At 45.5% G+C, this 19,119-nt stretch overlaps 2 protein-coding genes across 6 annotated transcripts in view; one reads left to right on the top strand and one right to left on the bottom strand.

The window, feature by feature from the left end:
- DMRTC1 (DMRT like family C1) overlaps nt 1–19,119 on the top strand; it is a 71,813-nt gene that overhangs the window by 3,688 nt on the left and 49,006 nt on the right. The gene's annotated exons all lie outside the window — the stretch shown is intronic.
- Nucleotides 1,192–1,944, bottom strand: FAM236A (family with sequence similarity 236 member A). Of its 2 annotated transcripts, none has more exons than NM_001348070.2 (3): nt 1,852–1,944; nt 1,499–1,674; nt 1,192–1,344 (listed from the first exon to the last, which is right to left on the bottom strand). In NM_001348070.2, the coding sequence occupies exons 1-3, from the start codon at nt 1,885–1,887 to the stop codon at nt 1,317–1,319; spliced, it is 240 nt and encodes a 79-aa protein (NP_001334999.1). In that variant the 5' UTR covers nt 1,888–1,944; the 3' UTR covers nt 1,192–1,316. The 2 variants fall into 2 exon arrangements, with proteins under 2 accessions (NP_001334999.1, NP_001335000.1); NM_001348071.2 differs by having other exon boundaries at nt 1,499–1,662.

The raw sequence follows: 19,119 nt of genomic DNA, 5'->3' as shown, positions 1-19,119 counted from the left end.
ATATTTTTTCTGCATTGTTACACTGAATTGCCCTCCTCAAGGCCATAGCAAGATACCTGTGGAAAAAGCATTGTCTATAGGTCACAGTCCTAACAGGTACTTAGGAAGAAGCAATGCTGTCCCATGACTATAACCACATACATGAGTCCAGATACGTATGTATGTCTTAAGCTCCTCTCCATCTCCAACAGCCAACCCTATCCCGATTAAATATCTTTCTCAAGAGGTGTAAAAAGATATTGACCCATAAAACCACCAAACACTTCCAGATTTATTTCAGTCTTAATGAGAGAGAAGCAAGAGAATGTGCCAGCAGGGAGGATGGGTCAGCCTCCTGTGGGAGTGGGTCCTCGAGAGTGTTGCTGTCCCCTGGGCATGCTGAGACACTAGAGCTGCCCAGCCTGCAAAGCTGAGGACCCCACTCTGGGAGCACCCGTGGGACTCAGCTCCTCATTCAGAAAGTGAACAGATCAATGTAATTTGACGTGGGCCTCTGTGAGGTCCTCCCACCCATTACTGTGTGTCTGAAAGGCCCGCCGTCTCTCCATTGACCTTGGTGATTGCTTGTGTTGCAATTTCTAACAGGTTAAAGGAACAAGTATGCTCCAACCCCCTTTGTAGAATTCTCCTGCTGATACTGTGTTGCAGCACATATCAAGGTCACCTCAGGAAGGCAAAAGAAAGAAAAAATGAAGCCCTCCTCTTATGAAAACGAGCAACGCGTAGGTGGAGACGAGGTCGTCTGTTGGAAGGGCTCTCTCTCTTGCGGTGGGGTAGGGGGGCCTGGGAGCTCTTTGTCAGTTTAGGGGTTAATGCCTTTTCTGAGATCCACAGATTCTTCCTCCACATGACCCTCCCGCCTCTGCATATAAACACTGCCCAGTTTTCCTCCGATATGAAGACCGTGCGCATTGCTGGGGGAAGAGAGATGTTATTCCGTCGTCATTCCTGCATGTAAGTGCCTCACCAGGGTCCGAGCTGCCAGCTGTGGAAAACTCACCATTGATTGGCCACAGCCCATCGCCACCAGGACCCAGGAACAAGCAGCGCTGCCTCGAGGAGGAGGGCGGACAGCCTAACAGGGCTCAGGAAGATGCTAGCTCTCTCCCTCCACAACCCCACCACCACCAAAGCTGACCACTCCCACTTCACCCGACGTGTTGAAAGTTACATCAAATGCCACAAAGCAAAAACAGTCAAGCGTGCCAGCATTTATTTCAGGCCTGGTGACTGGGACACTGCGGCGAGCAGGGGCATGGAGCAGCAGAAGGGGCTTGGTCACCGTTCATGGCTCTGTGTCTGTGGCTCCGGTGGTCTCAGATTCCGAGTGCCCGGTATCCTCCCCTAGGGAGGAAAGCAGAGTGACAAGTGGACCCTCGGGAGCCCTGGGGATTTCTGGCTTGGCCTGAGGTTCTCTTGGTGGAACAGGAAGGGGAGGCGGATGGGCTTGGTGGCGAGCAGTGAGAGAGGCAGAGGCGTGCTCCGAAGGAGCTCTCACCTGAAACACTTGGTGAAACATGCCAGGGCTCTCTGGAACCGGCTCCTCCAAGACCCTCGCAGAAGAGCAGGTTCCCTGGGCAAGCCTGTGCCACCGGATGGGTCCTCCGTGGCGTCAGACACAGCCACCCATTCCTCAGGGTCGTTTTGCAGCCCTTTCACATTCTGAAAGACAGACTAAATAGCCAGATCCTAATGCTCCCTCCCATCCCTGGCTTCCTTCACCCCACCCAGCAACTATTGTGTGTGTCTCTGGCCCTCTTGCAGGGGCTGGGGATGCAGCAGTGACCTGCACAGACCAAAGCCCAACCTCCTAGGGGACATTCCAGGACAATGGAGGGAAGCCAGACTCACCAGGTCAGCAGGTGGAAGGAAGGGAGTGAAGATCATGCTTCCAGGAGTGTGTGATGTGCCGGTAGGGACCGACAGGACTTCGTTGAAGACACCGGCGAAGCTCGTCACTCTGCCGGGTGCAAAGAGGCCGAGGGCCTGCCCCCTCCACGCCCCATTCAGCCCCTCTGCCCCTGCCCCATCGTCCCTCCCTCCTACAGCCTTGTGCTCCAGCAGGGGATACATTTCTGGTATGTCACATTCCGTCTGTTCCTGTGTTTCTTACTCCCACTCCTCCAATCTTTCTTTCCTTTGTTTCTTCCTCCTGGCCCTCCCAGCAGGCTCGAGTCACGCTTCTGCTTGCTGAGCAGAACAGCCCCGAGGGTCCTCCTCGAGAGAACATGATGTGTAGAGGTCTTCTACAGGTAGCTCATTTTATTTGGCCATGAATGGTTCATTGCATGCCAAGGTCACACATGGTCCTAGTTTGCCATGAGTGGGACCATTCCGGTTTTAAAACTTAAAGGCCCCTGTCCCGGGAAAGCTCTCAGTCCCAGGGAAACTGGAACTACTTCATTCATGTGGACACTATTGTCACATTACTGTGCACTGTTTTTCTCACATTTAACAGTTGGACCTTGTAGATGAAATTGTAAGAGTGATCCTGATACCTAAGAAGTAGACATTTATGAGTAATCGATGTGTATTGAAGGCTCTGTATATCTTCATAGTGTGGAGGTAAATGCAGCATTATGTGTTTGCCCCTGAATACATATCCACTAAAAGCCTATGATTGGACCTCAGCCATCACATCTGCTCTTGGGGTGTCACACCAGAGTTCTAGATGGACCCAGAATTGCAGAGAGACAAGGTCAGGGGAAGGAGCCGGGAAAGAGGTTAACAAGACCACAGATGCTGCAGATGGGACTCACACGAAGATGTCCTTCCCACCAGCCAGGCCATCGCTGGCTTTGTAAGGTAATGAGATTAGCAACATTAGAGGTGCTGAAACACAGCCTGAGTGGTCACTTGTACCGTATGCTGCAGAGAGGAGGGTTCAAATGGTTTCAGACAGCCCTGTGATTCATAGGATTCGTGTGCAAATCAGAGGTAAAGAGCCCTTAGCTTTCATGTAAATACGTAATTCCCTCTGACGTGTACAAAAATTCTCCTCAAAATCTTGTGAATTTCCAGGCAAGTGTTGTGAAATACTTAGAAACTCCTCCAAGAAGTGAGCAGGTCTCATTGTCTGTCCTATCTCCCTTTTCTCTCCTTGAATCTACTCCAGTTAGGCTTTCTCCTACACCACTCCACTGAAACTTAGGAGTTAATTGAACATGAACCAATGAACAAGTGAAAGTAATGTTTCTTATAGTTGTATATGACTAGCTATGTGATTAAAATGACCAAACCGGCAAGTTGTATTTAAATGCTTAATAAAAGCTAGGTTTAAATTGTTAACTTAAAAAATGAATAGAAATGAAGACCCAAGTAACTACACTGTCATCTCCCAGCACAACTTTCATTCTCATATAAAGAAACTCATTTTCTAAGTAGGAAGGTTGTTCCAAACTGCTGGAAATTCCCAGGAAGAAAGGCCCAGGTTTTATGGAGCTTCCACCTGTTTCCTTGTAGACGCAGCCAACTGCCACCAGGTGGCAGAACAAGATGAGAAAACCGTGCCCCACGGAGTCCCTGAGCCCCTGCTGCTGCAGTTTTTGAGTGAGTTTTCTCAGGGGCTGGAATCACTCCTGGGGAACCATCCCAAGGTTCTGCCCTCTTAAGCTATTCCAGGGTGCACCCAGGGCCTGGTCCAGGGTTTCTGACGTCTATGATGACGCTTAAGGCAGTGACATCGATCAGCCGGGCCTCTGGGCTAGGAGACCCAGTTCACCTCCTCATTAGTAACCCTGGGATGTGGTAGTAGGTGGCTTTAGGCAGGATGAGGGGCCAGTTGTATCTGTCAGTATGTCAGGGTAGTGACATCTGTGATTCTGCAGGGACATTTGAACAGCAGGGAATCAGAAACGCCAGAAAGTGAGGGTCCGCAACACAAAACCTTGCCAACTGCTGTGGACTGAATTGCGTTCCCCCGCCCTGCAATTAATATATTGAAGCCCCGACCCCTAATGGGACTGTATCTGGAGCTAGAGGCTTTAGGAGGCAATTAAGGTTAAATGAGGTCATAAGGGTGGAGCCCTGCTCCTACAGGATTAGTGTCCTTATGAGAAGAGACGCCACAGAGCTCATTGTATCTGTCAGTATCTCGAGGTAGTGACAACTGTGCTTCTGCAGGGACATTTGGGTAGCAGGGAGGTCTCTTCTTCTCTGCACTGCATGCACCCAGGAAAGGCCATGTGACGTCTTAGCAAGAAGGAGGCAAACCATGAGGAGAGCCTTCAGCAGAAACCAAATCGGCCAGCACCTTGATCTTGGACTTCCCAGCTGGCAGAACTGTGAGAAAATAAATGTCTGTTGTTTAAGTCACCCAGCCTGTGGTATTTTGTTATGGCAGCCCGAGCGGACTAATACACCAACCTAGCGGTTTTTCAAAGAAAGGAGTCCCGGGCTGGCCCAGGAGGCCAGGCTGCTCAGTCCCCGAAGCCTGATGGCAGGTGAGGTGGACAACCCTGTTGTCCCGCCCAGTAACATTTCCTTTTTTTTTTCTGAATCTCCTTTGAGAAAATAAGCTGCCTCTGTGCAACTGCCTTGAATGGACCCAGAGTTCTGCAAAGAGTCAGGGAAGGGCTGTGAGTGATGGTGATAAGACCCGCCCCGCACCACCCTGTGGATGGATGGGATTTATATCGAGAAAGGCTACGAGGTCAGCCCCTCGTAGCTTTATACCATGTCTCCCTCAGCTGAGATTAAACAAGTGTGTAGGGATTCAAGAAAAAGTTGATTTTTTAATTTGGAGTGGTTGTTACAGGGAGTAGGGGTCAACTGGATTTTGCCAGCCCTGAGATTGAACTGGATAAATTACAGGTAAATTATATGTGTGAAAGCACTGGGTACATGAGAGGATCTCAATACAATTTCGTTGACTTGCACGCAAGTTTCGCAGAAGCTCCTGCAAGAGGCGAAGTGATTCTTATTATGACAAATAATAACAGTTTCTTTTTATTAAAGACCTAGTAAGTACAGGTATATCACCTGTTTACAATACTGTCTTATTTATGCAAATAATCCTCGTGTATGAAAACAATACAGACAAAACAATAGTCTCCCTTGTCCACCCCTCTCCGTCACCAGCCCCCTCAGCAATGGTTTAATGTGTTTCCTCAAAAATTCCTCAATCGATGCATTTACATACACATACATGCACTAATAGAAACATACGCTTGTCTTTTATGGGGCCATAAGATACAGACTGGCTCAGGATGCACGTATTGTGTGGCACTTGATTTTTGCATTTTACAGCAAGTCTGGGTGAACTTCTCCTGTCAGTTCATGGAGAACTGTCTCATCATTTTTAACTTCTGCATAGTGTTCTAAGTGATATGCCATAATTCTTTAACTACTTCCATACACAAGGACCTTCACATTTTTTTCCTCAACTTTTAAAGTTCTCAAAAGTTTTTCCAATATCTTTGTTTGCAGAGGATGTGTCGCTCTAGAAGAGATACACATAAATAGAATTTTGGCACAAAACCCTACAAATATTTCAACACTGAGTAGCCGTTGATAAATGGATCTGAAAAGAGGTGGCAGCAATTTATTCTCTCAGGAGCAGTGTAGGATAGTGTTCATTGTCCTTCACCGTCGCTCTTGATGTTATTCATCCCTTTAACTATTTGCTAATCTGGTGGTTGATATATAAAAGGTTTTGAGACAAAGCCTTCCTTACAGAATCTGTGAAGGTCCAGGGCTGGTCATGCCTGCAAGCCCATACTCAGATGTCGCCTCCAGTGGGCTGGGTGGGGAGAGGCTGAGAAAGGCACAACAGAGTACAACAGAGAGTGACAGGAGGAAGTTTCGGGGTCCATGAGAAGGCTCAGACAGGGCACCCACTCAGCCTTGGGGATGTTAATGGAGTCAGTGGAGGTTTCCCAGAGGATTAGGTGCCTGAAAGGCGTGAGGAAAGAAATTAGACAGGGAAAGGGAGAGGAGGAACAGCACTTGAAGCACAAAGACCAGGCCACTGAGGTGATTTTGGAAACTGCAAATAAGCAGACCCAGTTTCTATTCTGTGCACTTGTAGCAGTCAAGGTTGGCTACCATGAAACGGTGCTGGATCAGAAACGTGTGTCCCAGTGGAGACTCTGAGTTCCTCTGCTGCAGTTCTCTAGAATGAGGGTGCTCAATCAGGGGCTAGCCTGAGTTCCAAGGTCCAGCCCTTGAGGATCTTCTGGGTTGCATCCAGGCCCTGGCCTAGAGTTTCTGAAGTCTGTCATGGGACATAAGATAGTGATACATATATATATAGTCTCCTAAGGACCTAGCCTGGGAGACTCTAGTCAGCTGCCCACCCATTCTGTAGCTCTGGGGTATGAAAAGAAGCAATTTTAGGCAGGGTGAGATGCCAATGGTGTCATGCAGTATCTTAGGGGGTAGTGAGGGTATCCTTAGAGGATACTGAAAATACTTGCAATGGGGCTCATGGGAGGCATAATAGCCCCCAGGGCAGCAGTGCCATCAGGGGACTTGCAACTAGGCAGCTGGCTGACACAGCAGGTAGCTGTGAATGTAGTAGTCCCCTAAGCCACGGGGTCACTAAATGTGTGAGAAGAACAAGAATTTGGAGGTCATTTAGCCAAAGATTTCAGTATGTCAATAGGGCAATGGAAGCTCAAGAAGGTATAGCAACTTGCTCAACACAGAGAGAAAATGTATCACTATGGTGAGACAGTGAAGGGAGGACACTGTGACTAACACTGACAGATGAAACCTGTCTTCCCCTGAACCTGAGAGGTTCTAGAAATCAAGAGCCTGTGCAAATGGGTCATCACAGCAAACAGCTTGAGGAGGTTCATGGCAGCCAGGTCCCAATCAGCAGCAGTGTTGTGCCTCTGAGGATATAATGTGTGAGGCTGTGTTGGTGTGTGAATCAGCCTCTGGTGGGTGGTGAACAGGGGGCTCCAGGCTGGCGTTCGCTCTCTCTCTCTCTCTCTTTCTCTCTCTCTCTCTCTCTCTCTGTCTCTCTCTCTCTCTCTCTCTGTGTGTGTGTGTGTGTGTGTGTGTGTGTGTGTGTTTTAGAGGTGAGGTCCCCTTGACACCAAGCCCTGCTCTATTAAATCCCCTATGACTACTTGGGTTTTGACTGCTGTTTTCCAAGTTATGGCCCCTCGTAACCCACTGGATTGGTTGGACGGTGGTATCGTTGCAGACAAGGGTCCTCCCTCTGAGCCCAAGGGAAGGAAGGAGGGAACAAGGTGGCCTCAAATCTTGTCCCCTGGGCCTGAGCCTCTTAAGCTACAGTGGCAGCTTCATCCATATCTGTGTCCCACACAGTCTCATATCCCTTGCCCTACCCACATTCAGCCAGCCCAGATTCATTTCTGGACTGGAGAAAAGGCCTCAGCACCTCCAGGAAGACAGCTCTGAGTCCAGACATTGAAAACATCTGGTTCCTGCTGAGCAGGAGGCTCTGGGCTCCAAGCTAGAGGAAATAAAAGGAATACTTCTCACCCTTATCCCAGATCAGAGAGTCCAGGCACAGCAAAGCTCTGGTGGACACATGCTCATTGATTTGTTTTCTTCAATAAAGGTTTATTGGTGCCGTGCTGTAGGTAAAGCCCTGTGTCCAGGTACTGGCTGTTCCAGGACTAACAAGGCAGAGCTCATGCTCCAGAGATGAGAACCTGGGTGAGGACAGTCATGCAAATTAAGCTGCCAGAGGGGGCAGTCTAGCATGAGAAATGCTATGATAGAGAAGAGTACACAGTATGTTTGTGTGTTAGTCAAATATTTCATCATATAGATAGGGAAATGGAAGCCCAGAAAGGTATAGCAACTTCCTCAAGGTAACACAGAGAGAAAATGTATCACTATGGTGAGACAGTCAAGTGAGGAGACTGTGATTGGGACTGGCATGGTGGAGGGGAGACATGTTACCAAGGGAAGAAGGACGTGTTCTTTTTGAGGGTAGGAACATCAGAGATCAAAAGGACAAGTGACAGGCTGAGCAAGGAAATGGTGGCTCCAGAGGAGAGCCATAATGCAAAGGCCCTGAGGCAGGGCAGAATTAACAGCTATTTTCGGGGGTACTGAAGGCAAATTTTAGCCACGCTGTGGAGAGAGACGAGGCTGTAGGAGAGGAGCAGAGTTGAGATGTCCAGATGGAAAGTCTGAGGGATGAGAGACAATGTCCTGGATAGAAAGGGGCTCTCACAGAATCATCTCATTTGGATCTGGATGGTATAGAAGGAAGTCTCCATTGCTGGTCCAGGATGAGTCCTGGGCTCCCGTCCCTGTGCAGTTTTCTACAGTGCATACACTGGGCCTTCTAAACACACCAACTCTAAAGCGCAATGGTGAGGTCAGAGTGATGCCCACCCAAGCTGTTCCCTAGAAGCCAGTGATCGGATACCATCCTGTGTGGCTGGGGAAGCTGGCAAACAGTGCATAATGAGGACATTGATATGGGTTCATCTAGAATAAAACCAGGATGACATAAAGAAGGGCTGGGTTTCTAGTAGGGGTCAAATGAGTGTGAAGAGGCAGAATTGTGGGGTAAAGATATTGGAATCAGGCCTCGGCGAGAGGGGAAGGCAGAGAGAGAGAGAAAGTGAGGAGAGGGAGAGGAAGGGAGTGACGGAGGGAGGGAGGGAGGAAGGGATGGATGGGGGCAGGGAGGAAGAGAGGAATCTAGGGAGGGAGGGAGGGAGGAGAGCATTTGGTCCTTTGCATAAGGGATATGGCCTATGAGCTGCAGCCTGCTGGGGCTGCCTCCCTCACACCAGAATTTTTGGAAAAGTATCCACTGTGATGGGCCTCTCTTCCTGGAGAACAGACGCCTTTGTCCTACTTGCTAGGAAGATATTTTTCCTGCACTGTTTTTGGGTTTTGGTTTTTGTTTTTTGGCACTGGAATGACCCGGAGTCACCCGGGAGCTCCCAAGAGGAGGATGCAGGGTCCCAGGTCAACTATATTACTACTCATGGCTGCCACTTACTGAGGGCCTAATACACATCAGACACTCTGTCGTGTGGATTACATAAGCTGACACTTATCTTTCCAACGGTCCTGCAAGTTCAATGTCAGTCAAATTTTACAGGGTGTAATCTGGAGCCGGAGACTTCAAGATACTTGTCCAAGGTCACACAGATATTTACTGACAAAGCTGGGACTTGACCCCAGGTCTGACTAAAACGTGGGCGCACCATGCACCACCCTGGCACCTGAGAACCCCTCCCAGCCTTAATGGAGCCTTCTGTGTCTTGCACCCAGTCCCTAGCCCCCAGATATTCCTGCTGTCTTAATTGTTATTGATTGCTGCATAAAAAACTACCCCAAGCATATCAAGTTAAAATGATAAGCAGTTTTTCTCTGAGAGTTCTGTAGATCAGGGATCCGGGTATGGCTTAACTGGATCCTCTACTTCCCAGTCTCTCACAAGGCTGCCAGCCCAGGGACAACAGTCTCATCTGTAGGCCTGACTGGGGAAGGATTGACTTCCAAGCTCACTCATGCGGCTGTTGGCAGGATCCAGTTCCTCATCTGTAGGCTCAGCTGGGGAAAGATAGACTTCCAAGCTCACTCATGTGATTGTTGGCAGGCTCTAGTGGGTCGCTGGCCTGAGGGCCTCAGTTCCTCTATGGCTGTTGGCCAGAGACTTTCATCAGCTCCTCGCCAGCTGGCCTTCTCCATCTGGGCAAACACGCGTGCAGGAAGAGCCTGAGGGAGAGAATGAATGCCAGCAGGTCAGAAGTCACAGTCTTGTTATAGCCTAAGCATGGAAATGACACGCCATCACCTTTGCCAAATTTTGTTGGTTAGAAGCAAGCCACTAGGTCCAGCCCACCCTCAAGGGGAGGGAATTCCATAGGAGCATGGGTGCCAGGAAGGGGGATCCTTGGAAGCCATTCTGGAAGGCTGCCCACCACACCTGCTCCTGCACCCACCTCAGTATAGTGAGCCCCTCTGGGTATCAACCACCTTGACGGAGCAAATGGTTGATGGGCCACCTTGGACTGTGCTATGTGGCCTGCATCTATCTGATCCCACCTCTCTTCCAGCAGGCCCAGGACTCGAGTCTGCCTGGCCTTGCCTTCCTCCCCAAACCTACCAGCTACTCCTGGCCACTGAGCCCATGAGATGTCACAGCAGCTGAAAAGGGACCTGCTCCCTGTGACTGAAGCACACACCCATCACTCGGGTGGGACTGGGACCCAGGATGGTGCTCCAGGCCTCTCCTGGTAAAACAGAGGTGAAGGGCTCAGCTCTCCCACTGAGACAGGGCCCACCTCAGGAGAACACGGGTACAGGTGGGAGAGGGCTGGGTCCAGAGTTATCTGTGAAAGCTGCAGAGATGTTCTTGCTTTTACCCTCTGGGTTGGGATTCTGGGTAGAATCCCCCCAAGTTCTCCAGCAGGCATCACAGAAACATCTCTAAGGCAACGTGGGAGCACCCATGCCAGAGAAGGAGCTGCTCTGAAGCTGCGTGGAGACCCAGAAGTGTTCAGACGCCTAAGATGGGGGACCTACTCTAGGGAGGAGAGGAGTGAGTATAGATTGGGGATGGTTTGTGTGTCTCCAAAATGTATTTAACTCAAAAGCAGAGAGAGATGTGAAGCACATATAGCAAAGCATTTTTAAGTAGGGATGGTGGCTGCTGTATTCTTCTCTCTGTTTTTCTGTAGGTTTGAAATATTTCAGTAGTACAATACTCTAAAAGTAGAAAACAGAAGAGAAGGAGGGGGCTCTCAGGACCCCTGGACTCCACATTTCCCAGGCGTGTCTCAGAGCCAAATGCGTCAAGCTGGGGGGTGGCATTGTGAACTTGTGAGTTTCCTAGGAACCCAGTGGTTCCATTAGGCTGTGGGGATCGGGACTGCAGGTGGCTGGACTCCCATGGCAGAACCTTAGCCAGGAGCAGAGCCATCCCGGAGAAGCCTGGGCTTTTTCCAGTTCTGGGAAGCATCCACCAGACTCAGCTCTTCCCACTGCTGCTATTTTCTTGCAATATATATCAGGGGCAGCTTACAAAGAGACACGGTGTCATAATAAGAGACAAACAACCTGAGGTGATGGATATGAGGCCATGTGCTGGAGGGGCTCTCTCCAAGGTTGAGGTGGGGGTTGTTGTGGTCAGATTATAACTTAATGCCTCTGAAGCCTTTCCTGTGGATTCTGTGACATCTTCTCTCCTTCTGACCTCACCTCCCTGTCCCTCAACCTACAGCCCTCCTCTCCGGCCCAAGGGCTATCACTCAGTCAGTGCCCATCAGCCACCCTATATGAAGTGTTTGAAACCAGTAGCATGTTTACTGTCCATCAACCATTGTGCTATTGCAAAAGTGACTGGGGGACATGCAGTACTGCTCCAAGGTACGAGGACAGTAACCCATTTGGCTAGGTACCCCGTGCCTAACTCTCTCTCCACAGCGACCCCCTTCCCTGCCACCTTCACCGAAAGAGGCAAACCATAAATCACAGGAGGTGGATATTCATGTGGAGAGGGACATCAAATATCATAACACCAAAAGAGTCAAGTGTGCCAGTATGTATTTCAGGCCCACTGGGGTGAGCAGGGGCATGGAGCAGCCGAAGGGGCGTGGTCACCGTTCACGGCTCTGTGTCTGCGGCCCCCGTGGTCTCAGTTTCCGAGTGTCCGGTATCCTCCCCTAGGGAGGAAAACAGAGTGACAATTGGACCCTTGGGAGCCCTGGGGATTCTGGCCTGGCCTGAGGTTCTCTTGGTGGGCTTGGCGGTGAGCAGTGAGAGAGGCAGAGGCTCTCACCTGAAGCACTTGGTGAAACATGTCAGGGCTCCCTGGAACCAGCTCCTCCAACACCCTCTCAGAAGAGCAGGTTCCCTGGGCAAGCCTGGTCCTCTATGGTGTTGGCAAAATAAACCAAGGGCATAGTGTCTTTAGCTGAACCAGTTCCGTTCAGGAAAATAGGGAAAAATCATTCTAGCCAGCACTAACATTGCTTCCTTCATTCGTCGGGTGTTCGCTGGGGGCCTGTTTTGTGTACACCAGGATCAGTTGCAGGTACTGGGGATACAGCAATGAACTCTAGAGATCTAGATCCCAGCTCTCCTGGGGCTGACTATCTGCCACGCTGGAGGGAAATCAGGCTCACCAGGTCCTCAAGAGTTTGCTCTTCCTTGGGAAGGCTAAAAACTGCAGCTGCCCACCTTGCAAAGCTGAGAGCACCAGTCTGGGGGATGCGGCTTTCTCCATACAGTCAGATCAGGACTCAGCAGCAGCAGGAATGCCAGTGAAGTTCATGTTTTCTGAGAAGTGCGATGTACATGTGGTGTCTGAAAGGACTTATTGTCAGAGGCCGGCAGAACTCTTCATTGTGCTGGGCCTCTGGCTCAGGGCCTGTCCCCCCCTGTGAAAATCCATCCCCGTGTCCCTGGCCTGGATCTTCACCCTCCCCTCCTGTAGATGAGTATGCTCTTTTCAAGCAGTTGATGATACATTCTCGTAAACTCCCTCACGTGCTGAGATGCCTCATTGACTAGTATCATCGCTTCCCTTTCCTCTCTCCCGACTCCCCCTTGAACCCACTCTAATCAGCTTCCAGCCCCACAACGCGACTCTCATGTAGATGATTAAATGACGAATTGAAAGTGATGGTTTCTGATTTTCACATTACTCTACTTATATAAGCCTAAAGACTTAAGGGAAGATCTATTTCTGCATTGTTATCTTTAAGGTTTACTGAAATTCAAACCGGGGTACTTGCCAATTATATTTTTCCCCCCACCAGCTCCATCTTCATGTCAAGAAACTCAGTGAGTAGACAACCCTGAAACTACCCCTAAATTCCCAGTGAGCCGAACCCCAGCATTGCTGGGGATCCACAATCAAACTCCAGGTTTCTCTTCTGTGCATTAGTGGAAGCCAACGTAGGGTGCTTGAGGGAAGCATGGATGTAGAAAACTGTGTCTCACGGAGCCCTGAGATTTTTAGCTATAATTTTTGAGTCAGGCTGCTCAGTCAAGGCTCAGGCTCAGCCTACGGGAGCCTTCCAAGGTCCTGGCCTTGAGGATGCCCAGGGGTCTGTCAAGGGCTTGACAGAACCCTTTTAGGACCCTGTGATGGGCCTTGAGACAGTGGCATCTGAGCCCCCAGGGCTCTGGTCTAGGAAGCATCAGTTTTCCCACCCTACTTCTAGTTATGATTGGTGTCAGGAGGAAGAAAGAATTTGGGGATGCACCATAGGGTAAATATATTAAAACTGTTTAATCCCTGACAAATGGCACTCCAAATGTGGAGTGCACATTTGGCGCGTAGCGTGAATCTGTGCCAATTCACACTACCAGCGTCAGAACCTCAGTATATGATACCCGATTGGTATCATTATAATTTTAAGTGTTTGTCAGGTTGCAGTTTGAAAAGTGGAATCTCACTGTTATCTTAATTCCATTATGACTTGTGATGTGGAGCTCCTATTCCTTTCATAGTGGCCATTTGTATTTCTATAAATGGCCTGCTCAGATTGTTTGTTAGCTCTTCTATTGTTGTTTGTTCTCGCATGTGTTTCTTGAGTTGTCTCATCAGAGCTCTCTGTATATTGCAAATGTGATTATTTAGTCTGTTATAATTGAAGAAGATGTTTGCTCCCTGTCTCTCACTTGTGTTTGCATTTTGTTTCCTGTGTCTTCTTGCATGGACACTTTTCATTTGGGGTGTTCATACAGACTGCTTTATTCAGGCCTCACCACAACCATGTGAGGTTGTTCGTATTTACCTCAGTTTTCTTTTTGTTTGGTTGGTTTTATTTACATTTAATAAATGCTCATTGAGTTGGGTGTCAGAGGTACTCTGCACACTGGGGATAGAATCACCATAGTTCCATGCGCCAAGATCACACTGAGGGCTGGCGGCACAGTAATGAGCTGTACCCTTACAGAGCTTTCCACCTGTAAGAGTTTCGGGCACACTCTTAAGCTTCTTTTTCTTTTCATTCATGATTTAAAAATGCATTACTTACACATAATTGTACATATTTATGGGGTACCGTGTGATGTTTCAACCCCTGTATACATTGTATAATCTTCAAGTCAGGGTAATTACCATATTCATCACTTTAAACATTTATCATCTCTTTGCAGTGTTAACATTTAAAATCTTCTAGATTTAAAATCTTGAAGTATACACTACATTGGTATTTTCTATACTCGCTCTACTGTGTAATAGAACACCAGAACTCGTTCTTTATGTCTAACTGTAACTTTTTACATTTTTGCCAACCTCTCCCGTTGCCCCACACCCCCTTCCCTCCCCAGCTTCTGGTAACCACTACTCTAGTTTCTGCTTCTGTGAAATCAACTTTTTAAGATTCCACATCTGAGTGAGGTGATGTGGTGTTTGTCTTTCTGTGCCTGGCTTATTTCACTTAACATAATGTCCTCCAGGTTCACCCATGTTGCCTCAAATGACAGGATTTCATTTTGTTTTATGGCTGGATGGTATTCCATTGTATATACAAGCCACATTTTTCTTTATCCATTCATCTGTAGATGGGCATTTAGGTTGATTCCATATCTTGGCTATTGTGAATATTGCTGCAACGAACACGGGAGTGCAGATGTCTCGTCAACGTGATGATTTCCTTTTCTTTCGCTATATACCCAGTAACGAGATTGCTGAATCACACAGCAGTTCTATTTTCAATTTTTTGAGGAATCTTCATACTGTTTTCCATAATGACTGTAGTAATTTTCATTCCCACCAACAGTGCATAAGTGTTCCTCTTTCTCAACATCCTCTCCAGCATTTGCTACTTTTTGTCTTTTTGATAATAGCCATTCTAACTGGGGCGAAGTGATATCACATCGCGGTTTAGATTTGCATTTCACCGATGATTGGTGATGTTGACTGTTTTCATATATCCGTTGGCCATTTGCACATCTTCTTTTGAGAAAAGTCTATTCAGGCATTTTTCCCAATTTTTAATTGAATTATTATGAATTTTGCTATTGTTTGGGCTCCTTATATATTCTGGATATTAACCCCTTGTCAGATGCATAGTTTGAAAATACTATTTCTCTCATTCTGTAAGCTGTCTCTTTACTCTACTGATTGTTTCTTTTGCTGTGCAGATGCTTTATAGTCTGATATAATCCTATTGGTCTATTTGTGTTTTTGTTGCCTATGCTTTCGAGGCCTTACTGAAGAAAAGAATCGTTGCCCAGTTCAATTTCGTGAAACGTTTCCCCTATGTTTTCTTCTAGAAGTTTCACAGTTTCAGGTCTGACATTGCAGTCTTTAAGTCATTTTGATTTGACTTTTGTATATGGTGAGAGATAGGGGTCTGGTTTCATTCTTCTGATTGTGAACGTACAGTTTGTCCAGCACCATTTATTGGGGAGACTGTCCTATCCTCCATGTATGTTCTTGGCTCCTTTGTAGAAAATCAGTTGGCTGTTAATGCTTGGATTTATATCTGGGTTCCCTATAATGTTTTATTGGTCTATGTATCTGATTTTATGTCAGTGCCCTGTTGTATTGGTTGCTTTTGTATATTTCGAGGTCAGGTAGTGTGTTGTCTCCAGCTTTGTTCTTCCTGCTTGGGATTGGTTTGGCTATCAGCATCTTTTGTGGCTCCATACAAATCTAGGATTTTTTTTTTCTATCCGGACTGTCATTGGTATTTTGACAGGGATGTCAAATGTCGAACATGGAGATCACTTTGGTTAATATGGACATTGTAACAATATTAATTCGTCCATGAATGTGGGATCTCTTTCCATTTATTTGTGTGCTCTTCAGTTTCTTTTATCAGTGTTCTACAGTTTTCACTGTAGAGATCTTTCATCTCCTAGCTTAAGTTTATTGCTAGGATTTTATTTTTTATTTTTTTGTGGCTATTGTAAATGGAATTACTTTCTTGATTTCTTTTTCAGATAGTTTGCTATTGGCAAACAGACATGCTACTGATTCCTGTATGCTGATTTTATATTCTGCAACTTTACCGAATTCACTTATTAGTTCTAATAGTTACTTGGTGCAGTCTTTAGGGTTTTCTCTATATAAGACCATGTCGTCTGTAAACAGGGACAATTTGACTTCCTCCTTTCAGGTTGGATGCTGTTATGGTTTGGCTGTGTCCCCGCCCAGATCTCATCTTGAACTGTTGCCCCCATAATTGCCATGTGTTGTGGGAGGGACCTGGTGGGAGATAATAAAATCTTGGGGGCGGTTTCCCCCATACTGTTCTCGCGGTAGTGAATAAGTCTCACGAGACCTGTTGGTTTTATAAGGTGTTTCCCCGTTTGTTTGGCTCTCATTTTCTCTCTTGCCTGCCGACATGTAAGATGTGCCTTTTGCCTTCCATCATGATTGTGAGGACTCCCTAGCCACGTGCAACTGTGAGTCCATTAAGCCTCTTTTTAAAAAATAAATTACCCACTCTCGGGTATGTCTTTATCAGCAGCGTGAGAACAGACTAATACAGGCGCTCTTTATTTCTTTCTCTTGCCTAATTGCTCCGGCTAGAACTTTCAATACTAAGTTGAATTTAAGCAGTGAAAGTGAGCATTCTTTTCTTGTTACAAATCTTAGAGAAAAAGCGTCCAACTTTTTCCTATTCAGTATGATATTAGCTTTCGGTTTATCATATGCGGCCTTTATTTTGTTGAGGTATGTTTTTTACCTCTTTGCCCACTTTGCTGGGAGTTTCTATCATGAAGGGATGTTGACATTTTTTGAATGCTTCTCAGCATCTATCGAAATGAGCATATGGATTTTGTCCTTTGTTCTGTTGATGTGAGGCATCACTTTTATTACATTGCACATATATTGAACCAACCTTGCATCCCTGGGATGAATCCCACTTGATCATGATGGATGATGTTTTTAATGTGTTGCTGGTGTTTGGTTGAGGGTTTTCGCATCCATGCTTACTAGGGATATTGGTCTTTAGCTTTGTTGTTTTGTCGTGTCCTCGTCTGGCTTTGGAATTACAGTAATGCTGGCCTCGTAAAATGTGTTTGAAGCTATTCCCTCCTCTTCATTTATTTGCTTGTTTGTTTGTTTGTTTGTTTTTAAGCCTTTGAGAAGAATTGGTACCAGTTCTTTACATGTTTGGTAGAATTCACCAGCAAATCCATCAGGTCCTGGACTTTTCTTTGATGGGAGAGTGTTTACTCCTGCTTCAATGTCATTATTCCTTATTGTTTCTGTTCAGGTTTTCTATTTCTTTGTGATGCAATCTTGGTAGCTTGTATGTGTTCAGGAACTTATCTGTTTCTTCTAGATTTTGAATTTCTTGGCAGATGGTTGTTCATGATAGTCTCTTATCATCATCTCCACCGCTGTTGTGCCAGTTGTAATGTTTCCTTTTTTTATCTCTGTTTTTATTTGAATCTTCTCTCTGTTTTCCTTAGTTAGTCTAGCTAAAGATTTGTCAATTTCTTTATCTTTTAAAAGGCTAACTCTTTGTTTTTTGATTTTTAAGTTGTTTTTAAAAAATCTCTATTTTGTTTATTTCTGCCCTGATCTTTGTTATTTCTTTTCTTCTGCCAACTTTGGGTTTTTTTTTTTGTTGTTGTTGTTGTTCTTTTTCTAGTTTCTTGGGGCGTAACATTAGGTTGTTTATTTGAGATATTTCCACTTCTGTTACACAGGCATTTATTGCTATAAACTTTCCTCTTAGAACTGCATTTGCTGTATCCCATAGGATTTGGTATGTTGTGTTTCCATTTTCATCTGTCTCAAGGAATCTTTAAATTTCCTTTTTCCTTTTTAATTCCTTCATTGACCCATCCATTGTTCAGGAGCATGTTGTTTCATTTCCACGACTTTGCCCAGTTTTCAATATTCCCTCTGTTATTGATTACTTCATTGTGGTCAGAAAGTACTCAATGTGATTTTGATTTTTAAAAGTTTGTTAAGACTTGCTTTGTGAACTAACGTATGGTCTATTCTGAGGAATGTTTCATGTGCTGTTGAGAAAAAATATGTATTCTGTGGCTTTTGGATGGAATGATCTGTAAATATCTGTTAGGTCCATGGGGTCTAGAGTGCAGTTTAATGCCGACATTAATTTTCTGTTTGGTTAATTTTCTGTTTGGATGATCTGTCCACTGCTGAAAGTGGGGTATTAAAGTCCCTCACTATTATTGTATTATGGTCAATCTCTCCTTTCAGGTCTTTTAATATTTGCTTTACATATTTGGATGCCCTGGTGTTGGGTGCATATATTTATAACAATTATAAGTATTTATATATATTTACTATATATATATTTACAAAATATGTATATTTACAATGGTTAGAATATACGTATTTAACAATTAAATATATATTACAATATATATTACAGTTGTTAAAATATATATATTTTGTAATATATATTACTATATATACAATTGTTACAAAAACATATGTATATATATACACACACATATATTTACAATTGTTATATCCTTTTGCTTTATTGACCTGTTTAACATCATATAATGGCCTTCTTTGTCTTTTTCTTTTTATGGTTCTTGACATAAAGTCTATTTTATCTGATCTAAGTAGAGGTACTCCCACTCTGTTTTGGGTTCCATTTGCATGGAATGTCTGTTTCCAACCCTTTGCTTTCAGTCTGTGTGTGTCTTTGTCGGTGAAGTGAGTTTCTTCTAGACAGTATTTAGTTGGGGCTTGTGTTTTTAGCCACTCTATGTCTTTTAATTGGAGAACTTAGTCCATTTACATTCAAGTTTATCATTGACAGGTAAAAGTTTAACACTACCATTTTGTTACCTGTTTTCTGTTTTTTGTTTTTTGTTTTTTTTTTTGGTAGATCTGTTCTTCCTTTGTTTTGCTCTTACTGTCTTCTTTTGCTGTTATGTATTTTTCTCTAGTAGTAAATCTTGATTCCTTCCTATTTATATTTTAGTGTCCCTATTATAGGTTTTTGCTTCGTGGTTACCATGATGAGATGTATAAAATATGTCTTATAATTACAACAGGTTATTTTAAACAGATAGCAGTTTAACTTTAATCACAGGAAAAACGAACAAAAACAAACTCTACACTTTAACTCATCCCTCCCTCCACACTTTGACTTTCTGATGTTTTAAGTTACATCTTTTTGTATTCTTATCTCTTAACCAATTGTTGTAGTTATTACTGTTTTGAACAGTTTTGTCTTTTAGGTTTCATACTTAAGATATATTTGG

The sequence above is a fragment of the Homo sapiens genome, chromosome X, assembly GCF_000001405.40.
Source record: "Homo sapiens chromosome X, GRCh38.p14 Primary Assembly".
In the NCBI taxonomy this organism is placed as follows: domain Eukaryota; kingdom Metazoa; phylum Chordata; class Mammalia; order Primates; family Hominidae; genus Homo; species Homo sapiens.
Note: the sequence above shows the minus strand (reverse complement) of the source record. Positions and strands in the feature narration are given on the sequence as shown.

Bases quoted from the DNA above. Each gene is read 5' to 3' on its own strand.
- FAM236A (NM_001348070.2), bottom strand. From the start codon at position 1,887: ATGATCTTCACTCCCTTCCTTCCACCTGCTGACCTG. The intron at 1,675-1,851 runs GTGAGTCTGGCT...CTGGCTATTTAG, and splicing joins TCCTTCCACCTGCTGACCTG to TCTGTCTTTCAGAATGTGAA. The intron at 1,345-1,498 runs GTGAGAGCTCCT...TTTCCTCCCTAG, and splicing joins TGTTTCACCAAGTGTTTCAG to GGGAGGATACCGGGCACTCG.